We start from the raw sequence: 24663 nt of genomic DNA on the forward strand, positions 1-24663 counted from the left end.
CCATCCTTTTTCTTCTCCATGCCTTCTCTTTGGCCCTATCAGGAGCTCAAGTCCTTCTAGACCTTCTCAAGGCCTCATTCTTTACCAGGGCAAACCTATCCCTTCAGATGAATCACTGACAACTCTCCTGCTGTGCCTTCAACATCCCAGCAGGCTTATCATTTTGCTGTTCCCATCTTTATGGACCCTGAACTTCAGCTTAATATGAAAATCAATTTCTATGCTCTCTTGGATGCCACTGGAGAAAATCCCTTGGCTAAGCTCGCTGGTGCTGTGAGAAATCCACAACCTCTGACCTCAGATGGGCCTCAGTATCACTCTGCAACGTTTTCCTGTGTTTCTGCTTTCTTACAAGGGATACCTAAACTCTCCCCACATCCTTCTGTAAAGAAATTATTGAATGAAAGTACTAGATAAGTGAATAGCAAGAAATTGTAGGAGAGGATCTTCTCCTTACAGCTAGTATGAACTCTTCATGAAGATCTAGTGAAAATATAATCAGTAATAACCTGAAGAATTCAGAGGAGTTGGTAGTAAAATTGAAGTTATCGGTAAGACTCTGAAATAGAATTTTTATCCACCGTAGTTAATAAAGAACTATTACATATTGTGAATTTGGATATGTTTATAAAGTAATAAACATTTATTGTGTGTGATGAATAAAGAGATGTTTAAAATGTAGCATTAAGGACATGAGGCCTCTTTATAAATAAACTCTATTTTTCAGAAATGTTAAAAGTCATGATTAAATCCAATATTTACTTAAAAAATTTTATTGCCCTAAATGTTAACTATTTAGAAGCTTCCCTTATACTTTCTTAGGAAAAAGCATATGTGTATGTGTGTTTGTGTGTGTGTGCCACTGAGAAAAACCTTGCTCTTTCTAGTTGTAAAAATGACTGAAACAAAATATAATAACATAGCATATTTTTCTATCCAGCAGCATGACAAATCAGATTCCCATGCTAAATGAGATGCTATTTAAAATATTAAAAACAATCTTTTAAAGTGCAACAATCATTTTAAAGCTGGATTTAAAATAGGATTTCAGATTTCAGTGTATCATGTTGCAAGGAGAGCTTGGTATAAAAGATATTGCTCCAGGCCAAATGTGTGTGGGGAATCATACAAGAAAATACACATAAAGCTGGTATCCTTTGCAGAAGCAGAAAGAAAATATCATGCTGAATTAAGGGAAAACAATATCCCCTAAAAATTCCTAACCATGAGCATTTTTTCTTAAAGCACTAATTTATGTTATGTGTGTGTTAAAGAGAAATAGCAATATAATTGAAAACTCTTACAAGAAGCTGCAACATAGGACTTAAAGAATTTCCATAGTAACTAAAAAAAAATTTCAATGTTTAAAAGTACTGAACATGCAAGAAAATAATTCAACAAAATGAGAACCAGCAATAAATAAATAAAAACTAAATCAAAGAAAGAGACCCACAAGGACCTCAGAGGTGTTGGACACAGACACAAAATATAATTACATTTACATATGATTAATAAAATTAGAGAAGCAATTGAAAATATGAAAAAGATTATAAAAGTTACAGGCAAATCTTAAGACAAATAGAGTTTACATAAATTAAATTTAAATAACAATTTAAAAGCTCAGTAAATAGGTCAAAATAGACATAGCTAAAGAGAAAATTAACTAGCTGGAATATAAATCAGAAGTTACTACTCATAAAAATAGATGTTAAATAGCTTAGAAACCACAGTGAGAAAGTGCAGAATGTTTAATTGGAGACTCAGAGGGAGAGAATACAGAGAACTAGGATGAGGCAATTGAATATTGAGAAATAACACCTGATAATTTGCAAGAATTGTTGGGAAAGATCAATACACAGATTCAGGAGAAATATGCACTTAGGCATAGCAAAGTAAAATTCTATCACACACACACACACATATACACACACATCATTAAAGCAACCAAAGAGAAAAGATTGCCTACAAAGGAATAATAATTTGACTGATAGCTAGCTGACTTTTAAATAGAAAAAAAGAAAGCCAAAAGGCAGTAGAAATATATAAATATATTTCAATGTGCAAAATAAAAAATAATAACCTATCTAGCACACTATAACTATAAAAACATGTTTCAAGAATTATAGAAATCTATCAAACAAAAACTGTGAATTTAACACCAAAATCACTCTCTGAAATACATTCAAAAGATATATTCAAGAAGAAGGACCATGACCCCAGATAGGGGGTCTGAGAAGCAAAATACAATGGTGAACAAAGATATTAATAAATATGAACATAACTCTACAGAGCACTGATTTTAAAAAATAATACAATTATGTAATTTATGGAGGAATAATAGACTAGAACTAAAAAATTGGAAAATGGCATGTAAATAGAAAGCGATGGTCTAAGTTAAAATATCCTAGGCTCTTTATACTGTTCAGGAGAAAAAAAAATGGATTATCTTTAAATGTTTATATATTAAGTAGACATGATATTAATGACTGAATTATGTCTCTCAATATTCGTATGTTGAAGCTCTAACACTCAAAGTGACTCTGTGTGGAAAAGGGCCTTTACAGAGGTAATTAAGTTTAAACAAAGAAGGATGCCTAATCCGATAGGGCTGATGTCCTTGTAAAAAGAGCAAAAGGGACCAGAAATCCCTCTTTCTACTGCATGTGCACAGAGAAAACATCACGTGAGGATGCAATGAGAAGGTAGCCTTGTACAAGCCAGAAAGAGAGGTCTCACTAGAAACCGACCCAGATAACACCTTGATCTTGTACTTGGCTAGCCTCCAAAACTGGGAGAAAATATAACAGATTTGTATTGTTTAAGACACAGTTCTGTACTATTTTGTTATGGCAATCCTTGCTGTCTAACAATATAGAAAATGATTGGACAATTAAAATAGACACAAAGTATAGAATAGACCACCCATACAAGTGTGTGTGTAGCGTGAAATAAAAGAAAATAACTGCATAGGAACGCAGGAAGAAAAGATGGAAAGAATATTTGGAAAAAATAAAAAGCTGGCAGTAGAAATTATTCTAAATATATAATGTCACAAATAATTTAAATGGATAAAACATGTCGGGTAGAGGTAAAACTTTTCAAACATAATAAAAGAGATACACCTAAAATATAAGGACACAGAAATATTGAAAGTGAAAGGATAGAGGAAATGCCAGGTAAATACCAGCTTTATAAAAGCTGGTAGTGTCATAAAGTGTTGAAAGTGAAAGGATAGAGGAAATGCCAGGTAAATACTAGCCTTATAAAAGCTGGTAGTGTCATGCCTGTAATCCCAGCACTTTGGGAGGCCGAGGTGGGCGAATTATGAGGTCAGGAGTTCGAGACTAGCCTGGCCAACATAGTGACATCCCTTCTTTACTAAAAATACAAAAAATTAGCTGGGCACCTGTAATCCCAGCTACTCAGGAGGCTGAGGCAGGAGAATCGCTTGAACCCAGGAGGCGGAGGTTGCAGTGAGCTGAGATCGTGTCACTGCACTCTAGCCTAGGTGGCAGAGTGAGACTCAGTCTCAAAAAAAAAAAAAAAAAGCTGGTCGTCCTGTATTATCAGCAGACAAATAAACTCAAAGACCAAAAAAATTAAGATAGATGAAGAGGTGCACAGCAAAATGATAAAAGGTTAATCAATCACACACACAGAAACATTCTAAATGGGTTCAGAATAACATAATTTAACAATGCAGAGGAACCAAAATGGACAGAAGTATCAGAAGAAATAGAATACCTGCATGATAGAAGGAGAGTTTAACAAAACAGTCTCATCAGTTGCTGAATAAAAAGAGACAAAACTTGGTCAGAGCACAGAGATTTGAGAAGCACAACTAGTAACTTGATCTTACAGAGTTTTGGAAAACATCGAACCTAATTAGTTAAAAATGTACAATTTGTTTTAAGCACAATGAAAAATATTTATTATAGCTGACTATGTGCTAGTCCGAAAAGCTGCTTTAACAAGTTTTAGAGAACTGTTATATAGACCACAGTTTCTGACCGCAGAAAAATTGTTAGAAAAAATTTAAAAGTAGCTAAAAATCTAATTTATTTTAAATTTCAAAACACATTTCTAAGCATCTTTTGAGTGAAAAAAATCTAGTATAATGGAAATCAGAAAACACAAAACTGAAAAATATGGAAAATAGCTAAAGTAATAGAAGCAAATTCATATCCTTAAATCCTTACTTTGGAAGAGAGGAAAAACTCAAAACTAATAAGGTAAAGGTCAGATTTTAAAAATTAGTAAAAGAGCAAGAGCATAAATACACCAACAAAGTAGACAGAACAAAGTAATAAAGAAAACTATTAAAAATAATATGAAATATACATTAAATAGAGAGGGTGAAAGGAGTCAGAAGTTGGTTCTTTGACAAGACTTGTAAGACTAATAAAATAGACATAGTTTGGAAAGATTATTTGAAAAATAATCTTTAAAATACAGATTTAAATAAAATAAGATAAATAAAGATTTACATTAAAAAAGACTTAAATAAAATATTTTATTTAAATGAAATAAAGATTATTTAAAAATAATCTTTAAATAATCTTTAAAAGCACAAGAAAAATGTTAGAAATAAAGACATATAACTATAAATACTATAGAAATTAAGTAGATATAAGAAAATATTATAAACAACCACACACTACTAAATTTGACATGGAACACATAAATTTCTTTTTAAAAATGCAATTGTTTGATGTTGAAATAGAAAATCTGAATACTCTTAAATCCAGGAAAGTAATAGAATAATTTCTAAGTACATATGCCTTCCACTTTCTCCTTTCCTTGAGCAGCTAGCTGCGATACAGAATGGACAGAGGGAGATGGGGAGCCATCTTGAACTGCAAGTTTCCAGTGCTGGAAATGGCAGAGAAGAGATAGAAAGAGTCAGGGGCATGGTGATGAAGGAGCCACTATACCAGCCTATTTCTATCTTGTTGAAATTGTTGCTATATTTGGTCTTTGCTGTGGCGACCAATCCATACCTTAACTAGTGCAAGTGATAAAACAAAAGAAAACAAGAGAATGATTAACACAAAATTTGGACTATAGCTAACTTGGCAAGGGGTTGGGGGTGATTCTGTAAGGAAAAGAGATAGGCTCGTGTAGATTTTAGAAATCATTATGTTCTAGTTATTAAGCTGGGATGTGGTATACATTATCTTATTTTGTTATTCTTCAAAATATTTAGTCACGTTTTATACAGGCATATATGCATGAAATATTTCTTAATCAAAATACAGAAAAATCAATTTGGAGACAAACATATTTCTTTTTTTTTTTTTTTTAGAAAATACCACTAGAAGATGCATAGGAGAACACTGTTGAGTATTTCAAGAAATAAAATATAGTATTCAAATAAGCTATGTAGTGTGGGGGGCTTATTGTACAGTTAAAGTACAGATATCACTAATATGGCTGAGCTTATGCTATTTGCTAGATAATATTTCAATAACATAAAATGTGAAGAACTAGATTTTTGTATTTCATAAAATAAAGATATATGGGAGAAATGATATTGTCAAAAGTCAATAGTTTCTTTAATAGAAAAATGTTTTGTGAGACCACAACTAAGAATGGCCATCAATGGAGATAGCACTTTGACTCTAATAAAGGTTGAAATCTGGAGTGAGGTCACGTTCACAGATTGTTGCTGTGATTCCTAAAGGGTGTATGGTATTCTCCCTCTCTCTCCTTGCTTACCTCGTCTATAAACATTCTCTATAAACCACTGCATGAATAAAAGGAAACCCTAGGTTGAGTCAGGTAAGGGTTGAGCAGTACTAATTACTGCCTTTGCCATCCAACTTCTCCCAGTTTAGGAAAATAGAAGAATAATGAAGGAGAGCCAGCTTTTGTTTGTTACGTGATCTAAGCTAAAATACCTTTTTCATATCTGATCTAGGAGCCAGATATTCCAGAATTAATATCTCCTTATTTGGCAGAACTAATACCCCTAGTTTCTAATATTATGAACCATGTTTATTACTGTACTTACAAGACTCCTTTGAATTTTTGGAGAACATTAAAAAGTGTTGTCTTGTACAATTGGATTTCAACCATAAGGATTTTCACCCCTAAACTAAACAATACCTAATTAAAAGCAAGATGTAATTTATTCAAGGATATTTTTACTTTGAACTTTTCCCTTTGAGGAATTACAACTTATATTAAACTAATGAAAAACAATTATCTCAGATTTTTCATTAAAAGTATACTGATTTTCCAATCTCTTTCATTTGTAGATGCCTGAAGGTTTAGAAATTGAGCTGATGTAAAACTCTGGGCTGTCTCTTTGAGTGACATTAATGCTTGCAGGGGAGGGAAAGAACTAGCAACTTTATTCCTTCTTTGGTATCTACAAATGGATTTTCGGATACCTAGAACTCATTTCCCATGGAAATTGTATGCATGGTGGTTGGTTTACCAGGTACCCCAATGGAACCTGACAAATATATTTCCTCAGGTACTGTCAGTGTAATTTTAGGATATTCCTTTCTTCTCCCAGTATCTTTTCTTGTCTACAAATATTTCAGCTACTTTTAGGGGGTAATGTGGGATTTATGGGCTTGGTAACTATTCACCACTTTATTTTGGGCAAGTAGAGAGCTCAGTTAGTATTTGGGCCATGGCCTATAGTGAGAAGAGAACTTCATAAAAGTTAAGTCATGGGACAAATCTCTTTTTTAGATATGCAGCATAGGAAAGTGACTCTTCGATGTGAATACTTTAAAATAAGGTCCTGGACTACTAAATATCCATCATCTTCAACACTAACATCTAGTCTTTATCACGCCAGCAAAATGATCATCGTTATTATCTGTATGAGAATTTTGCAGTTCTATTAACAAGAATTTTAGAGCTGATAAATTTTAGTTACAAAACATTTTTTTGTCTTTCTACCCAAAATGAAACCAGTCTGATCCATAGTGTTGACTTTAAATGTTTATCAGTTTGATTCTTTGCTTGGTGTAGTTTATTTTTTTAAAGCAGCCAAAAATAATAGTATTTAATGGTTCTGTTGTCCATAGTGACTTCTCTGAATTTTCCCTGATGGTTAACTAGACACTGGAAACTTAGTGTAGTTTATATACAACATGAGTTATTTTACTGTAATTGTAATCATTTGATAAAAATATTACTGAATTTATTTATTCAATAAGCAAATATTTACTATTTACAGCAGTCACTATTCAAGATATTTGTGATATGTACTAGATGGACAAAAATCTCTGCCCCATGAACCTTGCATTTTAGTGGAGAAAGAAGACAATGAACAAAATAAATAAAAATTAAGCAAATTATATAGTCTGTAAGAAGGTGATACATGCTTTTGGATAAAGTAGGGTAGAGTCAGGAGGATTAGGAGGAAGGATATGGGATATGGTGGCTGCAGTGAAATAGGGAGATTAGGGTAGGTCTTGTTGAAAAGGTGACATTGAGCAAATGTTAAATGTATATTTCTTAACTAATATTACTGTCTGCTAAATACAGAATTTATTTGGGGGCCATTATTATTTTTTTCTACTTATTGAGAATTTTCTACTTACTACACACTAAACTTTATATGGATCAGTGTATGTTATTGCCTTTGGGGAGAAATATTATAGTTCTAAAAATTGAAGTAAGCTTATTGATCAGCTTAGATTAATTTAATTATATTAGTAAAGAGATTTTAATTAAATTTTTAAAATCTTTAGTTTTGTACTAAATAAATGGTGCTTCAAATGAATCAAATTGTAATAATTTCATTAGAAATAAAATTTATTTATTTTATTGCAGGAACATAGCAAAATTGTGCAGATTACCAAAAAAAAAGCTAAGCCTTTTATTTTATTTCTCTTCCTTTTTTTCATTTTCATTTTAGGTTTTGGGGGTGCATGTGCAAGTTTGTTATATAGGTAAACTCATGTCATGAGTGTTAGGCTGTGTTGAGGGAAATTCATAACACTAAATGCCCATATCAAAAAGTTAGAAAGACCTCAAATTAACAACCTAACATCACAACTGAAAAAAATTAGAGAAGCAAGAACAATCCCAAAGCCAGCAAAAGACAAGAAATAATCAAAATCAGAGCTGAACTGAAGGAAATTTATCTTCTCTGAAATTTAATTTATACCACTCTCCCCAAAAAAAGAGTAATATTTGTATTTTTTTTTTGACTTGTAGGTCAAATTCAAAGTCAAACCCCACAGGATTTATTTTAATTCAATAGAATATCCTACCTACTTCAAGAAGAAAGCATAAGATCAAAAGATTATGAATATAAATATTTTATAGCTAGATGAAGTAGATATACATTCTTCCATATAATCAGTGTTAAATTATATAGGGTAAATCTATCAAAGAACAGCTGCAGTTTATTATAATTGTAACACAAATTATATATACATTTATTCCTGAAAATATACCTATAATTGTTAAAAATCAAAACATATCATAAATGTATAATATATAAAATAATGCTTTCATGCATGTCTTATAAAGAATACTTTAGTGCAGCAAAAAACTATTCCTGTTTTTATATAAAGCTAAATTTTTGTGCATTGCATTCTGGAAAGACCATAGAATCAACATTCAAAAGCCTCGCTTTCCTTTCCTAAACTCAGATATTAATCTTTATTGCCAAAAATGCATCTCCGTTATCTTTTCTCTATTGAAAGGTTATTCTTACCTCTGAGTTCTGCATTCTAATCAATGGCATCACAATCTACCGCTCCCTAGTTTAGAGCAGTGGAGGCATCTCCTACATTTTTTTCCCTCGTCCCCAATGTCTAATTAATAAAAAAGCTCAGTTGCTCAGTTAATCAAAAAGCTCACCACTGACTTTCAGGTTGTCCCAAAGGCAGAACTTATCATATTGCCCCGCAGTTTTAAGGCTTTGCGTTTTCCATAAAATCAACTCTAAACTCCTTTGCATTGGATGAAGAGATATTTATAACCTGGACAAACCCATACAATAATTTTATTCCCCACAACAGCTCATCTCTAGCATCTGCATTGTAGAGGTTTCCTGAAAAAAAAACATTCTTTACTTAGCTGGTTCTTTGAATTAGTTGTACTCTCTGATTAGAAAGTGTCTTCCTCTTTTTACTCTTTTGCTTTCACTCATTCATTAATTGATAAAGATAACTACTTATCGAATACATCCTTTGTGTCAGGCAATGGGAATGTGCCAGAGTTTAAAGTGCTGACAAGGTAGACACATTCTTGCACTCATGAGTTCGCACTCTTCTGCTTGCACATGCTCTCGTCTTTCCAGACTCAAATGTCTTTACATTATACTTCCTCGCTGCAGTACTCCCAGATCAAACTAGTTGCTCCTGCTTCTAGAAGTGTTGGCATCTGTGCATGCCTTTGTTGTGGTATTTATGTCAGACATATTTTTATAAGTCCGTCTTGTCCACTAGACTCTGAGCTGCTTACAATAAGGAGCAGGTCTTTTCATCAAAAGACCTGCCTACAATGCCTGGGACAGTATTTGGATATCAAATCAATTTGAATGGTTTTGACTGAAACTTTAGGCCTTATGATAGAAAACTAGGTTTCCAAAGATGACCACAAGAAATTTACTGAATGCATGTATATTCTTTCTGTTTAGGTGTGCCAATTTTCATAACAGCTTTTAAAGCCCATTTCTTTATTTTTTTTTATTATACTTTAAGTTTTAGGGTACATGTGTACAATGTGCAGGTTAGTTACATATGTATACATGTGCCATGTTGGTGTGCTGAACCCAGTAACTTGTCATTTAACATTAGGTATATCTCCTAATGCTATCCGTCCCCCCTTCCCCCACCACACAACAGGCCCCAGTGTGTGACGTTCCCCTTCCTGTGCCCATGTGTTCTCATTGTTCAATTCCCATCTATGAGTGAGAACATGTGGTGTTTGGTTTTTTGTCCTTGCGATAGTTTGCTGAGAATGATGGTTTCCAGCTTCATCCATGTCCCTACAAAGGACATGAACTCATTTTTTATGGCTGCATAGTATTCCATGGTGTACATGTGCCACATTTTCTTAATCCAGTCTATCACTGTTGGACATTTGGCTTGGTTCCAAGTCTTTGCTATTGTGAATAGTGCCGCAATAAACATACGTGTGCATCCCCATCAAAAAGTGGGCGAAGGATATGAACAGACACTTCTCAAAAGAAGACATTTCTGCATCCAAAAGGCACATGAAAAAATGCTCATCATCACTGGCCATCAGAGAAATGCAAATCAAAACCACAATGAGATACCATCTCACACCAGTTAGAATGGCGATCATTAAAAAGTCAGGAAACAACAGGTGCTGGAGAGGATGTGGAGAATTAGGAACACTTTTACACTGTTGGTGGGACTGTAAACTAGCTCAACCATTGTGGAAGTCAGTGTGGCGATTCCTCAGGGATCTAGAACTAGAAATACTATTTGACCTAGCCATCCCATTACTGGGTATATACCCAAAGGATTATAAATCAGGCACATAAAGCCCATTTCTAATGTATTATTCTATAACATACCTGGCATACTGTTAATTTTTCATGTTTTATAGGAATTATTTCTATCTCTAAAGATAATATCTTCATAAATATATATGCAATTCCCATCTTAAAAAATCCTTAATATATTCTGTAGCTAATGGCTTAAAACTTATCTTTGTATTCATTTTCTCTTTACATAGAAATTGCTCTTTCCTAGAAGATTTCTGTAATTAACAAGAGGGTTTTCTTTTTCCTATTGAACTGCCTGTTAATGCATTCCATGGCCAGATGAAGAAATATATGTCCCACTTTCCTATTCCTAATGCCATAGTTACTATAGGAGTATTTCTATGTGGGATTTATTTTTCAGGTCTTGAGATATATTGCTCCCAGTGCAATCTAGTATAGTATTTTTATATTGATTTATTCTGGGGAAATGAATTCTATGGGATAGTTTACAGAGATCTCCTTCCCTCTTTTAATATCTAGAATGGCTACAACTCCTCCACCTGTATTTGACAGAAGCAACTCATGAATTCTGCATTGATTTTTTTTAGTGGCAATGGAAGCACTAAAGATAACGAGTTGTAATTACATGAATAGGAGTTGCTCCAAGTTCATAACCTGGAAGAAATGACGACGATGCCCCTAATGAAAATCAGTCTATTAGGCCAGCAAGATTTTAATAAGAGAAGGATGAAAAAAACCTACCTATCAGGTACTATGCTTATTACCCGGGTAAGGAAATAATCTATATATCAAACCCCCAAAACATGCAATTCACCTGTACTACAAACCTGCACATGTACCCCTGAAACTAAAATAAAAGTTAAAAAAAGAAAATGAAGCAATATTCTGAGACTGGAATTATATTTCTTTAAACTACCTTGGCTAACTGCCATTATCCTGATTCTGGTAAAAAGAGAAAATAATGATACTAATTTTCAGAGCCTAAAATGGTTCCTATCCAGATGTTGATTTCTGTCTGTTCATGAAAGTTTATCAAACCATTACACCATGCTACTGCTTAGTCAAGCAAAATAATTTATAGAAAAGGAAGCAAGTGGCAGGTTTTAAAATGCATATGTATCTAACTACAGCTCTAATATAATTTTGTATATAATTATTTAGAAAGAATCAAATTTATGTACCTTTTCCAACTCCACCTTGCTTGAAATTTTCCCTGTATCATTATTGTATCTGAAAAATACATTGATCCAGTTATAATTTTATTAAAATATAATTTGGAAAAATCCCAATCAAAATGTCAGTATTCCTTACCCTGGAACTGGTTTTGTTTTCTCTTTCCTCTCATTTATTTCATGTCCATTAACACTTTCTGCAAAACATTAAATAAAAGAAAAACAATTTAAATAAGGGATTATCATTGGGTTTGCCTGTGTGTGGATGCGAAGATGGAAGCATTAGTAGAAATTGAAAATAAAAAATTCACTGTGTACTAACATAACAGTCATCTTATTTTATAAATACAAATATCCTCCCAACACTTTTTCACTGCATCAGAGCAGTTAGTCAGAGCCAGAAATAATAACAGTGAAATTTGATGCTGTATCCAAATAGAATGTAGGAATTAAAGATTCCCAATATTATGCAGGAAAGCCATTTCAGTATAGGAAAGAGTAACCTGGAGGTCTACTGATAAAGACATGAGAGAGTGTTCCATCAGTCTGGCTGAGGGATAGAAAAGGCATTCTTCTTTTTGCAAGCAAATAGAAATGTAACAATTTAGGTAAAATATTTGTAGAAAACTATTTTTGTAGATACTGAGAACTATAGAGGGAAGAAAGTTAAATTCATATCATGCATGTATAGATGGTTAATTCAAAATACAACTTAGAATTCTTGAGTTTATGTCTATTGCTCTAATGACTAGACCCCAGATTGGCCATATCAACATGTGATACCATCAATTTCTAGTCCGTGGTTGGTTGATCCGTTGAAGTAAGTCATCTGAGTGGCCTCGACCTCTGCTTCTGCATTGATGATCTGCTGCACTACAGCCTCCGCAATGGGCATCACCATGGCAGCCGTCGAGGTGTTGCTGAGCCACATAGACAAAAAGGCAGTGCTGCTCATGAACCCCAGCGTCAGCCTGAAACCAGAGAGCCATTATTGTGGAGCTGTGCTCTTAGCTTAACTAGCACCGTATTATTTAACTGGAAGATGTTTAAGATGTGTTTTGTGAGTTGGGAAATTAAGTCTTTCAAAACATGGAAGGTTAAGATTCTGCCCAGATGATGAAATTGGAGTACCGTGACAGCCAGGTAGAAATCAAAGCCATATATGTAAAAGTGGAGTTCTTAAGAGATTTGTCTCCCAGGGAACCATGCAAATTTTCTCTTCAGAAACAGAAAAATGATTAAAACTAAACGAACTGCAAGTTGGTTATATGACATAACAGCTTATAATATTACACCAATATCTGAATGCTCTTCACAGCTGACCACTTATCTTCAAATGCTATTAAGACGAAACTGCAATCAACTTTTGAATTTAAGGTCCCTTATTTTTTCTTTTATCTTTTAGCCATAACTCTGTTCATAGGGGTGTCAAGGAGGTACAAGGACAAAGAAAGATTAATATTTATAAAGCCTCTTTTTACTTGTTCACTATACTAGTTCAGTATAAGGTGGGTGGAGAAAATAGTTAAAGTCATTTGCTAAAATGAGGTTTCTGAATTTTCTGAATATTCTGATTTATGCTCCCCTGAATCTGATATCCTTTCCTATTGTCAAGATCTGGACACACTACATTGTCTTCTTTTATAAATAGAGTAGTTATTAGTTATTCTCCTTAAAAATAATATACCTAAGACTACAAAATTTTAAGCCATATCTATAAACTTTCAAAGTCACACTTGGGGAAAAAAATGATCTCTTTTGAGTAGGCGGGCCTAGAAAATCATTCAGAAGCACACCTTTCTATATAGAGCAATTTATGAAATAATCTGACACCCTTTTAAAACAGATGTACAAGAACAATACCACACTGTAAGTTTCAGACTCAGATAAGGTGAATATTTTCAATGTATACAACAAAATAAAAGAAAATATATTAGGAATCTGCTTACGCAATAAATGGTTCTTCTAAAAAAAAGAAAATTAAGAACTTTTAACTTCTTAAGGCATTGTCAAAACAAGAAATCTTTGTATAAAAAATGCCAGGATCAGATAAAGCTTCTGGATGGTGAAAATGCCTTAAATTGAAGAGCCACTTAGTGGCATAATGGACAGAACTTCTGCCCCACTGTGAAGTGCATTACATCATCCTCTGGAACAGTGAGCAGAGGGTCAGGAAAAAGAGATACATTTCTGTAGCACCCTAAAAGGCATGGAGCCCCACTTCATTTTAAGAGTCAGATGACGTCGTTTTGGTTTTTTTTGTTTGTTTGTTTGTTTGTTTTGAGACAGAGTCTCACTCTGTTGCCCAGGCTGGAGTGCAATGGCGTGATCTTGGCTTACTGCGACCTCTGCCTCCCAGATTCAAGCAATTCTCCTGCCTCAGCTTCCCGAGTAGCTGGGATTACAGGTGCCTGTCACCATACCCGGCTAAACTTGAACTCCCCACCTCAGGCGATCGCCCACCTTGGCCTCCTAAAGTGCTGGGACTACAGGGATGAGCCACCGTGCCCGGCCGAGATAATGTCTTAAACACATATGTGTTATACAATTTTTAAGTAAAAAAAAAATTGAAAATTTGTCTCGTCTGAGTCATTTTTTTTTTGTATTTAGCAAAACAATTTGCACCATAAATGAAAAACACAGATGTGTCTACGCCCTAGAATGAATTATGCAATATAAGTCAATACAATATTCTAATTTTCAAAGAAAGATGAGAAGGGAAGAAACATCTAAGGCTTTAACGCAAAATGCCACTATGCAAATGATTATGACACTGGAAATTTTCTTTAGCTTACATTCATGTTCTTAGCAAGAAGTGAAATAAAACCGAAATAGCCAATTAATTTTATCAGTCAAATGAGTGATTTCATACTCTGTAGATGAAATGTCTTAATTGATTTTTTCACTTTGCAACAGTTGGTTTAAAAAGAAAAATATTCACCTTGGAATTTTTCTGCACACATTTGTATTTTGTCAGTAATGTCTTTGTCTTTGGTTTGTAACATCCTCCCTGATGATAAAGGATGCTCTTGAACAAGTTCTGAATGTGTAATCAGCCAAATAAACAAGATCGGAGGAAAATCTACTCTGAAGTCTATCAATCTTGTCTGTTGAGGTTCAAAGCTTCTCTCAGCTTTGACTTCTATGATGCATAAAAGGTGAGAAAGTTGTGTGCACGTATTCCAAGCACCCTGTAATCAGACCTGCAGTGAAAGTTGTTTTTTTTTCCTCCTACAACTCAAGTACACTTTATATCACTTTCATATTTGCAGAGGAAAAAACGTCATAAGTCAGACTGTGATACAAAGAATTTCCTGGGCGTGAATTACTTATTTGATTATTTGCTCTGCACAAAAATGGTCTGTTCAGCAGGTAAACTGGAAGCAGTAAATGCAGTACTTACCATGCAGGATTTACACCAACCATCATCACCATTTTCAGAGCAATTCTCTTGTGCAAATTCCATTTTTCTATGGATGTTGCTAAACAGATAACTCCAATTAGCAGTAAGTGAAAATCCTTGAAATAAGCAGATGCCACCTGAAATAACAATTAAACCCGTGATTATTTACTTTGGTGGGGAAAAATAACATTGCACAAGAAAGACATTATTATGCTGCTCTTAATTTTGACCTTCAACCGCATAATCTTTCCATTTTGTTGAGAAAAATGTAGATGTGTTTGAATACAAATTTAGACATGTTCTATATTCTTACTCAAAAATGGTGTTAAGGAAAAGTATACCGAAAAAAGAGTACTCAGGGTTATTAAATAGCTGAGTAACATCAGGTAAGTGCTTTTCTATTGGGGCTAATTTGTTTATGCATCTATAGTGGAATGGCAATGACTGTGATTTGGGAACGTTTTCAATCAAGCTCCAACTTACTACTGTCTTCATCATGACCCATTATGCTGTAACTGCAGTCACACCTTTATATATTGAATGATTTTACTTTCAAAATTACTTTTTATAAGGCCAGGCATGGTGGCTGATACCTGTAATCCCAGCATTTTGGGAGGCCAAAGCAGGTGGATCACTTGAGGTCAGGAGTTCGAGGCCATCCTGGCCAACATAGTGAAACCCTATCTCTACCAAAAATACAAAATACTAGCCAGGTGTAATGGTGCATGACTGCAATCCCAGCTACTCTGGAGGCTGAGACAGAAGAATTGCTTGAACCCAGGAGGCGGAGTTGCAGTGAGCCGAGATCGTGCCATTGCACTCTAGCCTGGGCGACAGAGTGAGACTTCATCTTAAAAAATAATAATAATAAAATTGTAAAACAAATACCCTCAAATGAGACTTAATATTTTAAGCAATTTTCAGTCAACACCATTCAGAGATTAGTAAAGGACCTAGAACTTTAAGCAACCATTTGCAGCAGTATTTCTTAAAGAATACTTTGAAATACATTTAGGTACATAATCTTTTTTTTTAAAAGGGTTGTGTAATTGATTAGGTTGAGAAAACAGAATTTTGACATACTAGAACTTTCTCTCCTATAGGCCTTTGCAAAAACCTTTAAACAATAGTGTATAATGTCATTTTTAAAGAGGGGGATATCATATACTACATATTTTTCAGATTTACTTAATTATTAAAAACTTATTTTTATTTAATTTTTAGGTGGAGCACTTCATGAGAGTGGTATTCAAGATAACTTACTTTAAGAAGCACTTGGCTAAACTGAAACACAAGGCTGTGCTGAAAGAGGATTATAAGAGTAAATGCCCCTCTAAAAAAATCAAACAATAGCTAATAGAAGGAATGGGAATGTTGGAATAAAACCATTCTAATGTTACAAAACCACAAAAAGGAAAATCAATTCTTATGATAATTTTGCTATATTAAATTATATCTGCATTTTTAACATAATTTGCTAAGCTTGGCTTCGTTTCGATAAAAAGCAAAAATTGATAATTACCCTTGAAATTAAAAGTAGGCAAGTGGACAACTTTTATATTTTATAAAATGTTCATTTATGATGTCTTTCAAAGTTTATATCTATCTCTTTACATTTTGTAGTGATTGGATAATAGAAAATAATTATATCAATTTCCTTGCTATTTCATTTATTACTCATTGAAAAATTATCCATATGCACCAAAAATATTATAGGAGCAGAGTATATATTAATAAATGCTTGATAAATTTTTCCCTCTTTGCACCTCTTCAATTCTCAAATATCAGGCCTTTCTAAATAGGTCCTATATTTTTCTGTATCATAGAGCCGTGTTTGGTTTTTTCGTAGTATATACATTACGTAAATACTGTTTGTTTACGTGCTTATTGTTTTCTCTATTATACCATACATTCTGATGAGGACCAGGAATCTGTTTTGCTAGCCAAACCAGGACTCTATTTTGCTAACCATCACGTATTTTGCACCTAGCATAGTGCTGGTACACAGTAGAGAGCTTGGTAAATAGAATTGAAAGAATGAGGGAGAGAGGGACAATGAATAAGCTATGGTCTCTGAGCTCTTATATCCCAATTTTCTACACTCTGTCCTCTACTTCCTAGTCTCCCACCTCTTTCAACTCTTACTCTAGGTATAAGTATTTCAGTATATTAATTTGCCAGTGCTTCCAGAGTCGGGAAGCTGTTTTTTTTTTTTTTTTCTCCCTGGTTCTATACCTGCCTGTGAATTTTTCTTTTTTTTCTAACTTTGAAAATCCAGTTATCTCGGTCCTCCAAAATGCTGGTATTCCACAGGGTTCTGTCCATAGTCTTTATAGTCTCCTTGTTTTATCCATCCAATGACTGAATTTGAAAGATTCAACTTTATGGGACTAAAATAATGCCTGGCACATACATGGGGGCACTCAATGAACCTTTGTTAAATGAATGTAGACTACACCAAGATCTTTATTTCCACACAGATAAGTCTTCTGAGTTTCAGACTGATATGTCCAACTGTTCATTTCCATTTGAATTTCCCACAAACACCTACAATTCAACATATCCACAATGACACTTCTCATTTTCTCACTCCCCATCCTTCAAACACATTCTCCCTTTGTAGTTAATGTAAACATCTATCTACTCAGTTGCCCAAGACAGAGACCTAAAGGTCAGCCATGATTCCTTTTTCACTTCCAATATAAGTCCTATTATTCCTAGGTCCTTCATATCTTTAAAATTTGTCCCTTTTTCTCTGTTTACACATGACTACCTTGATTAAGTTCCTCACTATTTCTCACTTGGCTACTGTATGATCGATCTTTTTCTGATCCACTCCATACCATTGTCATAGCCCCTTTTCTACAGTGTAAATCTGATCACATAATTGTCCTTCTTATACTTCTTCAGTATAGTTTTTAAGAACTTCCCATAGTTTTAAAGACCAAATCCAATATTTTCAACATGTCATAAAAGACCCTTCATCATCTGGTCCCATTTCACTTCTCCAATTTAGTTTTTTGCCACTCCACCCTTCTTCTTCCTATGTATTTAGTTCCCCAAACACAGAAGTGCTTTAACACTTGCTTGCAATTTAACCTGGAATGACCCTCTCTGCTTGTCTTGGATACTTCTAGTCTTCCTTCATGGAAGATGTCAGTTCTTCTAAGATATCTTCCCTAGGACACTAAACTGGATTAGATAATATCTCCCTTTTTATAGTACATCTTAATTTATATATTGATAATTTCTTCACTTATTTATCCCCTTTATTACACTAGATTTATCTTGAAGGCAAGATGTATCTTATTGATCATTGTATTTATGGACTTAGCACATGCCTGGCACAAACTGGCACTCAATGGATGTTAAATTTAATAAGTCCCTAGACTTAAAGAGCTTACAAGCTATTAGATGAGAAAAAACAAGTTAACAAAAAGTGCAATAAAGTATTATAGATGCTTGAATGATACCTCTCCAAAATATAATTGAGATTTTAAAAGTAAGTGGGGTGATAATTTTTTTTCCTAGAGGGATTGGGAAAGTCTTCTTACAGGAGCTGATCCTTGAGTTTATTATTGAAAAATGAATAAAGATTTAAGTTTTCATTTTCCCTTATCTCTTTTGCAGTTTGGCTCATGGAAATAAGCCCTATTGACTGCTGTGGTCTAAACGTTGGTGTCCCCCACCCAAATTCATATGTTGGCACCTAAAAGGAACCAAATATGTTCACTCCAACCTCTTGAATGGAATTAGTACTTTTATAAAAGGGGCCTGAGAGAGCTCCCTTGCCCCTTCCATCATGTGAGGATGCAGCAGCAAGATGCCATCTATGGAGCAGACAGCAAGCCCTTACCATACACTCAATCTGCCAGTGCCTTGATCTTGGACTTCACAGCCTCCAGAACTGTGAGCAATAAATATCTGTTGTTTATTTACCCAGCTTAATGTATTTTGTTGTAGTAATCTGAATGGGCTAAGATACCCTATTTTACCAATACTCTGAGAATTAAATAAAAGAATAAATGCAGAATTACTTAAAAATACAAATAAACACTTAGAAGCAAGCCATTATTAGTAAGTGATTAGACACAGAAAGAAGTCCAGGACTATGAGACATTCTTGCTGTTACTGATTTGGGTTATATGAGGAGTTAGCATATTGTAGAGGGCCAAGCAGTAAATATTCTAGACTTTTTTGGCCATATGGTCTTCATTGTAATTATTCAACTCTGTCATGGCACAAAATAGCCAAAGGCAATATGTCAATGAATGACTATGGATTTGTCCTACTAAAAAGTTTATTTTAAAAATTAGGCAGCAGGCTGATTTGGCCTTCAGGCCCACAGTTTGCCAGTTTTCTCAATAGACCATGCAAACAAACTACAGCCTGCAGTCCAAATAAAATTAGTTGTTAAACTTAAGAAAAAAACTTCACATTCTCTGTTTTCATTGTAGTACCTATTCTATGGTTTTCATCAGTCAGAATATTTGAGAAGAAACATTAGCCTCAGGCAGATGTGTTTGTTTATGGCCTACTTGTCCAGGGAGGTAATAGAAGAAGGTGCTGTTGGTTTGTAAATTACACTGATAAATATAACTATTCTCAAGGCAAAATTGATATGTCAAATAACATCTCTAATAAAATTTGATATCTATTTGCAAGATCAACATAGTTATATTTCTGTCTCAAAATAGGATTTCATCAAAAAGCATGGGCTTTTGCAATCAGAGCACCTGAGTTCTCTCTTAGTTATGTAATTTACCAGTTCAGCAACCTTTCTACAAATCAATAAATAGTTGTAAAAATTAAATATTACCTCACACCAACCTTGCAAATTAAATGAGATAATATTTTTTAAAAGGTGCTTTGTTAGTTATTAGGTTGTTTAGCTAAATCCAATAGCCAATATCTACTTTTCACATTAACTGACTTATCAGCAGATTTGACACACATAATCATTGCCTCATCTTCAAAACATTTGCTTCACTTGGATTCCAAGATCCCACACCCTCCTGGTTCTCCTCCTACCTCAATAACCTTTTCTTCTTAGTCTCTTTGGCTAGTGCTTTCTCTTCTCATTTGCCTCTTACTGTTATAGCTATGCAGAGGTCAGTTCTTTGTCCTCTTTGCTTCTCTATCTTCATTCACTCCCTGAGTGATCTCATCAAGTCTTAGGGCTTTAAATACCATCTATATTTTGATGAATCTCAGATTTATATCTGCAGATTAGCTCTCTCTCATGAACTCTGGACTCTTTTGTATTCAACTGCCTACTCAACATCTTCACTTAGATGTCTAATAGGTATTTCAAACTTTTCTGTCCAGCACTGAACTCTAAGTGTCAGCCCCTTTCCTAGAGTAAGCCTGCACTTCCCATCTTCCTCCCATTTCAATTGATAGCAACTCCATTTTCCCAATTGGCAGATAAGCTGTGAGGCATCTTTGACACTTTTCTTCCAACCATATGCCATATCTAATCAATCAGGAAAGTTTGCTGATTTTACCTTCAAATTTTATCAGCAATACATTCAATATCTCTACTACTGCCCCTGGTCTGAATTACCATGGTCTCTCACCTACTGCAGTAACCTCCTACCTGTCTCTTTCTTTCTGTCTTGTTTCTCAACACAGCAGCCCAAATTATCCTTTTTAAAATCAAAGTTAGGTTGATCATTTAACTTTTGTGCTCAAAACTCTTCAAAAGATCCCATTTTATTCAATGTTAAAATCTTGCAATGGACTACTTTGACCCTACCTGGTCCATTGCCTCATTACATTATGTACCTGACCTAATCTGTCATTCTCCTTTTTAGTTACTCTTTTCCAATTACACTGCAGATATACCTGCAATAAGGTCTTTGCACTGGGTGTTACCTCTTCTGCAATAGTCATGCTCCAAATATTCAAATGGCTAACTCCTTCATTTCCTGTAAGTCTTTCTTCAGGTATCACTATCTCAAGGAGGTCTAACCTGACCATCTTATTTAAAACTACCATTCTCTCTGATCCCCATCATCCTGTTGCATCTTTTCCATAGCACAAAATTACCTTTCTAGCTCACTATACTGTATAATATTTCTATTTATCAGATACAGTGTTCATTGCCTCCTTTCCTCTAGAAAGACAGGAAATATTTTGCCTGTTTTTATTCATTGATATGTTCCTAAATCCCTGGCAGGGTACTACCATATGAATATCTGTTGAATAACTGAGTAAATACATAACATAACACCTATATCTCTCTCTTTCTCTCTCTCTCTCTCTATATATATATATATATCTCCATACATGTGTATTTTCACATTCATATATGTGAAATTTATATTTAAATATTTTCGATGATAATATTAATGCTTGTTTTGAAATATCAAATTGAACATACTCTAAATACTTTAGATTTCTGGTTTAGTTCAACAAATATGAGAAAAGTTTAATATTTGTTGATATTCTTCAAATACAGTAATGGGCTCAGCAAAATACCAGTATTTAGGATTGGCTTAATAAACAGGTAAAGTTATAACTGTGATGGCCAAAGAGAGAGGTGTTTAGGGCTCTAAACTTAGATGAGGGCATTAATGACATGGTATCCTACTCAGTGACAGATCTGAGATTCAAAGATGTTGCAGTGGGCAGGAATTATAGTTTAAAACTCTCAAAACAAATTTTAACTGGGAATATTAAACCTAGTAAGAATGCTTGATACTTAGTTTGTATCATTGTTTAACATACATTATTTAATTTGATCATGACAACAATGGGTTGTGTAGCATTATCACATCCCACTTACAGATGATAAGAATTATTAAAGGACATGATCATAATCAGTGATAAATATCAAATTTTAAGCTCAGGTCTTATGACTAAATCTCTAGCTCATTCATAATAGATTGTAGCTTTGGTCAGCTAACTTATTAGTAAAAGGTAAGTTACCCTGTCGGCAAAAAGGATCACAAGTCTGAGAACAGTTTTCTCCACTAAAAGTTCTAAGGACTATGATTTGCTGCAAGTTCCAGTTAAACTTACAAGGTGAAGAGAATCACATAAAGTTTAAAACAAACTTAGGCTGAAATGCCATAGGGAAGACGATAGGCTCATTCACCTTTACAACACTCAGAATGTTTCTAGAATGATCTATTCACTTTTGTGAATGTATAAATAATAACATTGGCTAACATATATGGAGTACTTACTATGTAATGAAATTTACATTTATTAACTCATTTAATTCTTAAGTCTCATTGACAAACTAGAGTTAGTTTCAGGAAGAAAAAGAAGATGGTGGTGGTGATGGAGTTGGAAATGGCAGATTTGAGGATGGGAGTTGAGGTCTGGAAACCACTAAGGCTCAAGGTGGGAAGAAATAAGGAGGAAATGATATTAATTTTCAAATTCAAGCAACATTTTCATGAAAAAAACTAAGGTTTATTTATGAAATTCTACATGTTAGAAATAAGTTTAATGAGTCAGTGATTGAGTTTCAGATGTGGGCTTAATAAAGCTGAGTTACTTATGAGTTAAAATTATTCAAAAATAATATGTATCTCCTTGAAAGGGATATTAGAGGCCCATAACCCAGAAAGCTTTTAAACACCTTCTGAATGATTTCATCCGTTAGAGATATTGGAGATATTGGATGGGATCCCTGTTCTGGGTGAGAAGTGACCAAGAAGAATTCCCTTTCAAGTCTAAGATTCTATGACTGTTAAATTAGTCTGGGGATAAAGGACTGTTGGGCAGGTGTCTGCAGTCACAGTGATGCAAAACTGCCATTGGCACCTACAATTTTGCTGCCTTTAGTCAGGCCCTTACACACCACAAAGAGGCAGACGTATATATCCTTGGCAGCTCCTACAAAGCCAGCCCTTCCCAGGCACCCTTCCCTCCTGCTTCCCTCTAATGTTTCTATGTCCCTTCCCATAACAGCTTGCTACAGAAATGCCCCATGAGTCCAGTGAATCTCACTTCTACTTCAGCCTCTTTTTAACAGTTAATTTAGTCAGTTTTATTGTTACTAAACCATAACAGACAAAGGTATAACTGTTAAAAACACACCTGTCTCTGGACACAGAACCATCCAAGCCCATGGGACAAGGGTTAAAAATTTGACACCCTATTTTTAACAACTGATCAACCCCTTCTTTTTTTATTCCCGATATTGAAAGCCATATAGCATGTTTAAGCATTTAAGAAGCTTAATAGATTATAGCTCTGAGATTCCATGCGGCAGCAGAATGTCAGCCTGGAGGCAAGAGGAACTGAAGTACAGCCCTGGCCAGTCTTCCAAATCAATGGCCATTAGAAAGAAAAGACTCGAAGTTAGGTGGGAGGGGAAAACCCAGTAAGAAAAGAGGATCAGGGAGGATAAAAAGTGCAAAAAGATCGACTGGGGCTCCAAAATCAGGAAGAAGGACGTGAAAATAAAGAAGGGAACCATTCCTTTCACAGGAAGAAATGTAATCAAGGGTTTGTTAAAAAGAAAATGACAGACAGGTAAGCCTCAAGAGAGCAATGTTAGACCCAGGCAGAAGATAGAAGTCCAAAGGTGATAAATTGCACTGACTGGTATCTCGAACTTAACATCTTTCTTGAGATTGTTTCAGCTGTGGTTTAGACAGTTGTTCACTGGGTGGCTGGAGACTGGTTTCAATGCGTTTGGGAAACCAAATCCACTTTCTTCAGATGGGTACTCTTAGATTGTATAGAACAAATAAACACCTCTTAGCATGAATAAACTCCTCTCAGCAAGAACAAAATGGAGCTATACATGAACATTAGTTTGGCTTTATCTTTTGAAATGGCAGGTTTCTGGAAATGAAAACAGGGAAACTTTTTCTTCATTAAAAACAAAATTGTTTTTCCAACACCGTGAGGCTGAATTCTGCTGAATATAAAAAGCTTATGGAGGATGTCAACAAATTTCCCTGTTTTTGAGAGGGAGGCACTAGGCATAGATGTCAGTGAGAGAAGAGGGGACATACATTTCTCCCACTGACATGCATGACTCAAGAAGCTGCAGCTTGTGTTTGTTCTTTGAAGGTGGACACACATGCAGAATGCCAGAGAGGAGAAACAGTTGGAAGTTTGGGGGACTTATGTGGAACCTTACCAACGAGATGATTGCTCCCTTTAAAAATAACTTTTCTCAATGGAAATCTCAATACAAAACAGGAAATCAACTTATGACATTGGCAAGAGGACTTACCTTCTTAGAAGGCATGATCCCAAACATGGGTAACATTAAACTAGGTAGCAAAGCTGTTACCGACAGAGGCAATGCTTCTGTGAGCCAAAATGTGGCGACCACAAAGAGTGTGTAGGCACATTCTGCTTCCTGGTAAGAACAAATGCAAAGCAAAAGGTGATATTATGAGGCTGGAGAAGTCAACATTCAAACACAAACATGTTTGCTTAATAGAGCCATGTCACAGAGAACGTAAGAAGATCTGAAGACCTCTGCATCTTTGAGTTGCCCTCAAATACTCATTTCTTAGAAGTTCTAAGAAGCAAAATTTAATAAACATAAAAAACTAAAGGGAGAAAAAAATCCCCATTCATTACATTTATTTCACATTTCCCTCAAAAGAGATAATCTAGTCCATTTTCTTGCTCATATTAGTGTATATAGATGTTTC

General features: G+C 34.5%; 1 protein-coding gene across 9 annotated transcripts in view; it reads right to left on the minus strand.

The window, feature by feature from the left end:
- Positions 1-24663, minus strand: part of SLC13A1 (solute carrier family 13 member 1) — an 86441-nt gene that overhangs the window by 43209 nt on the left and 18569 nt on the right. For 8 of the 9 annotated variants that reach the window (NM_022444.4, XM_011516516.4, XM_011516515.4 and 5 more), the window contains 5 exon segments: positions 24234-24362; positions 15029-15165; positions 12409-12596; positions 11765-11822; positions 11635-11683 (listed from right to left, as the gene is read on the minus strand). In NM_022444.4, the coding sequence (NP_071889.2) occupies positions 11635-11683; positions 11765-11822; positions 12409-12596; positions 15029-15165; positions 24234-24362 (561 nt within the window). 9 annotated transcript variants of the gene reach the window in all.

Source organism: Homo sapiens, chromosome 7 (genome assembly GCF_000001405.40).
Source record: "Homo sapiens chromosome 7, GRCh38.p14 Primary Assembly".
In the NCBI taxonomy this organism is placed as follows: Eukaryota; Metazoa; Chordata; class Mammalia; order Primates; family Hominidae; genus Homo; species Homo sapiens.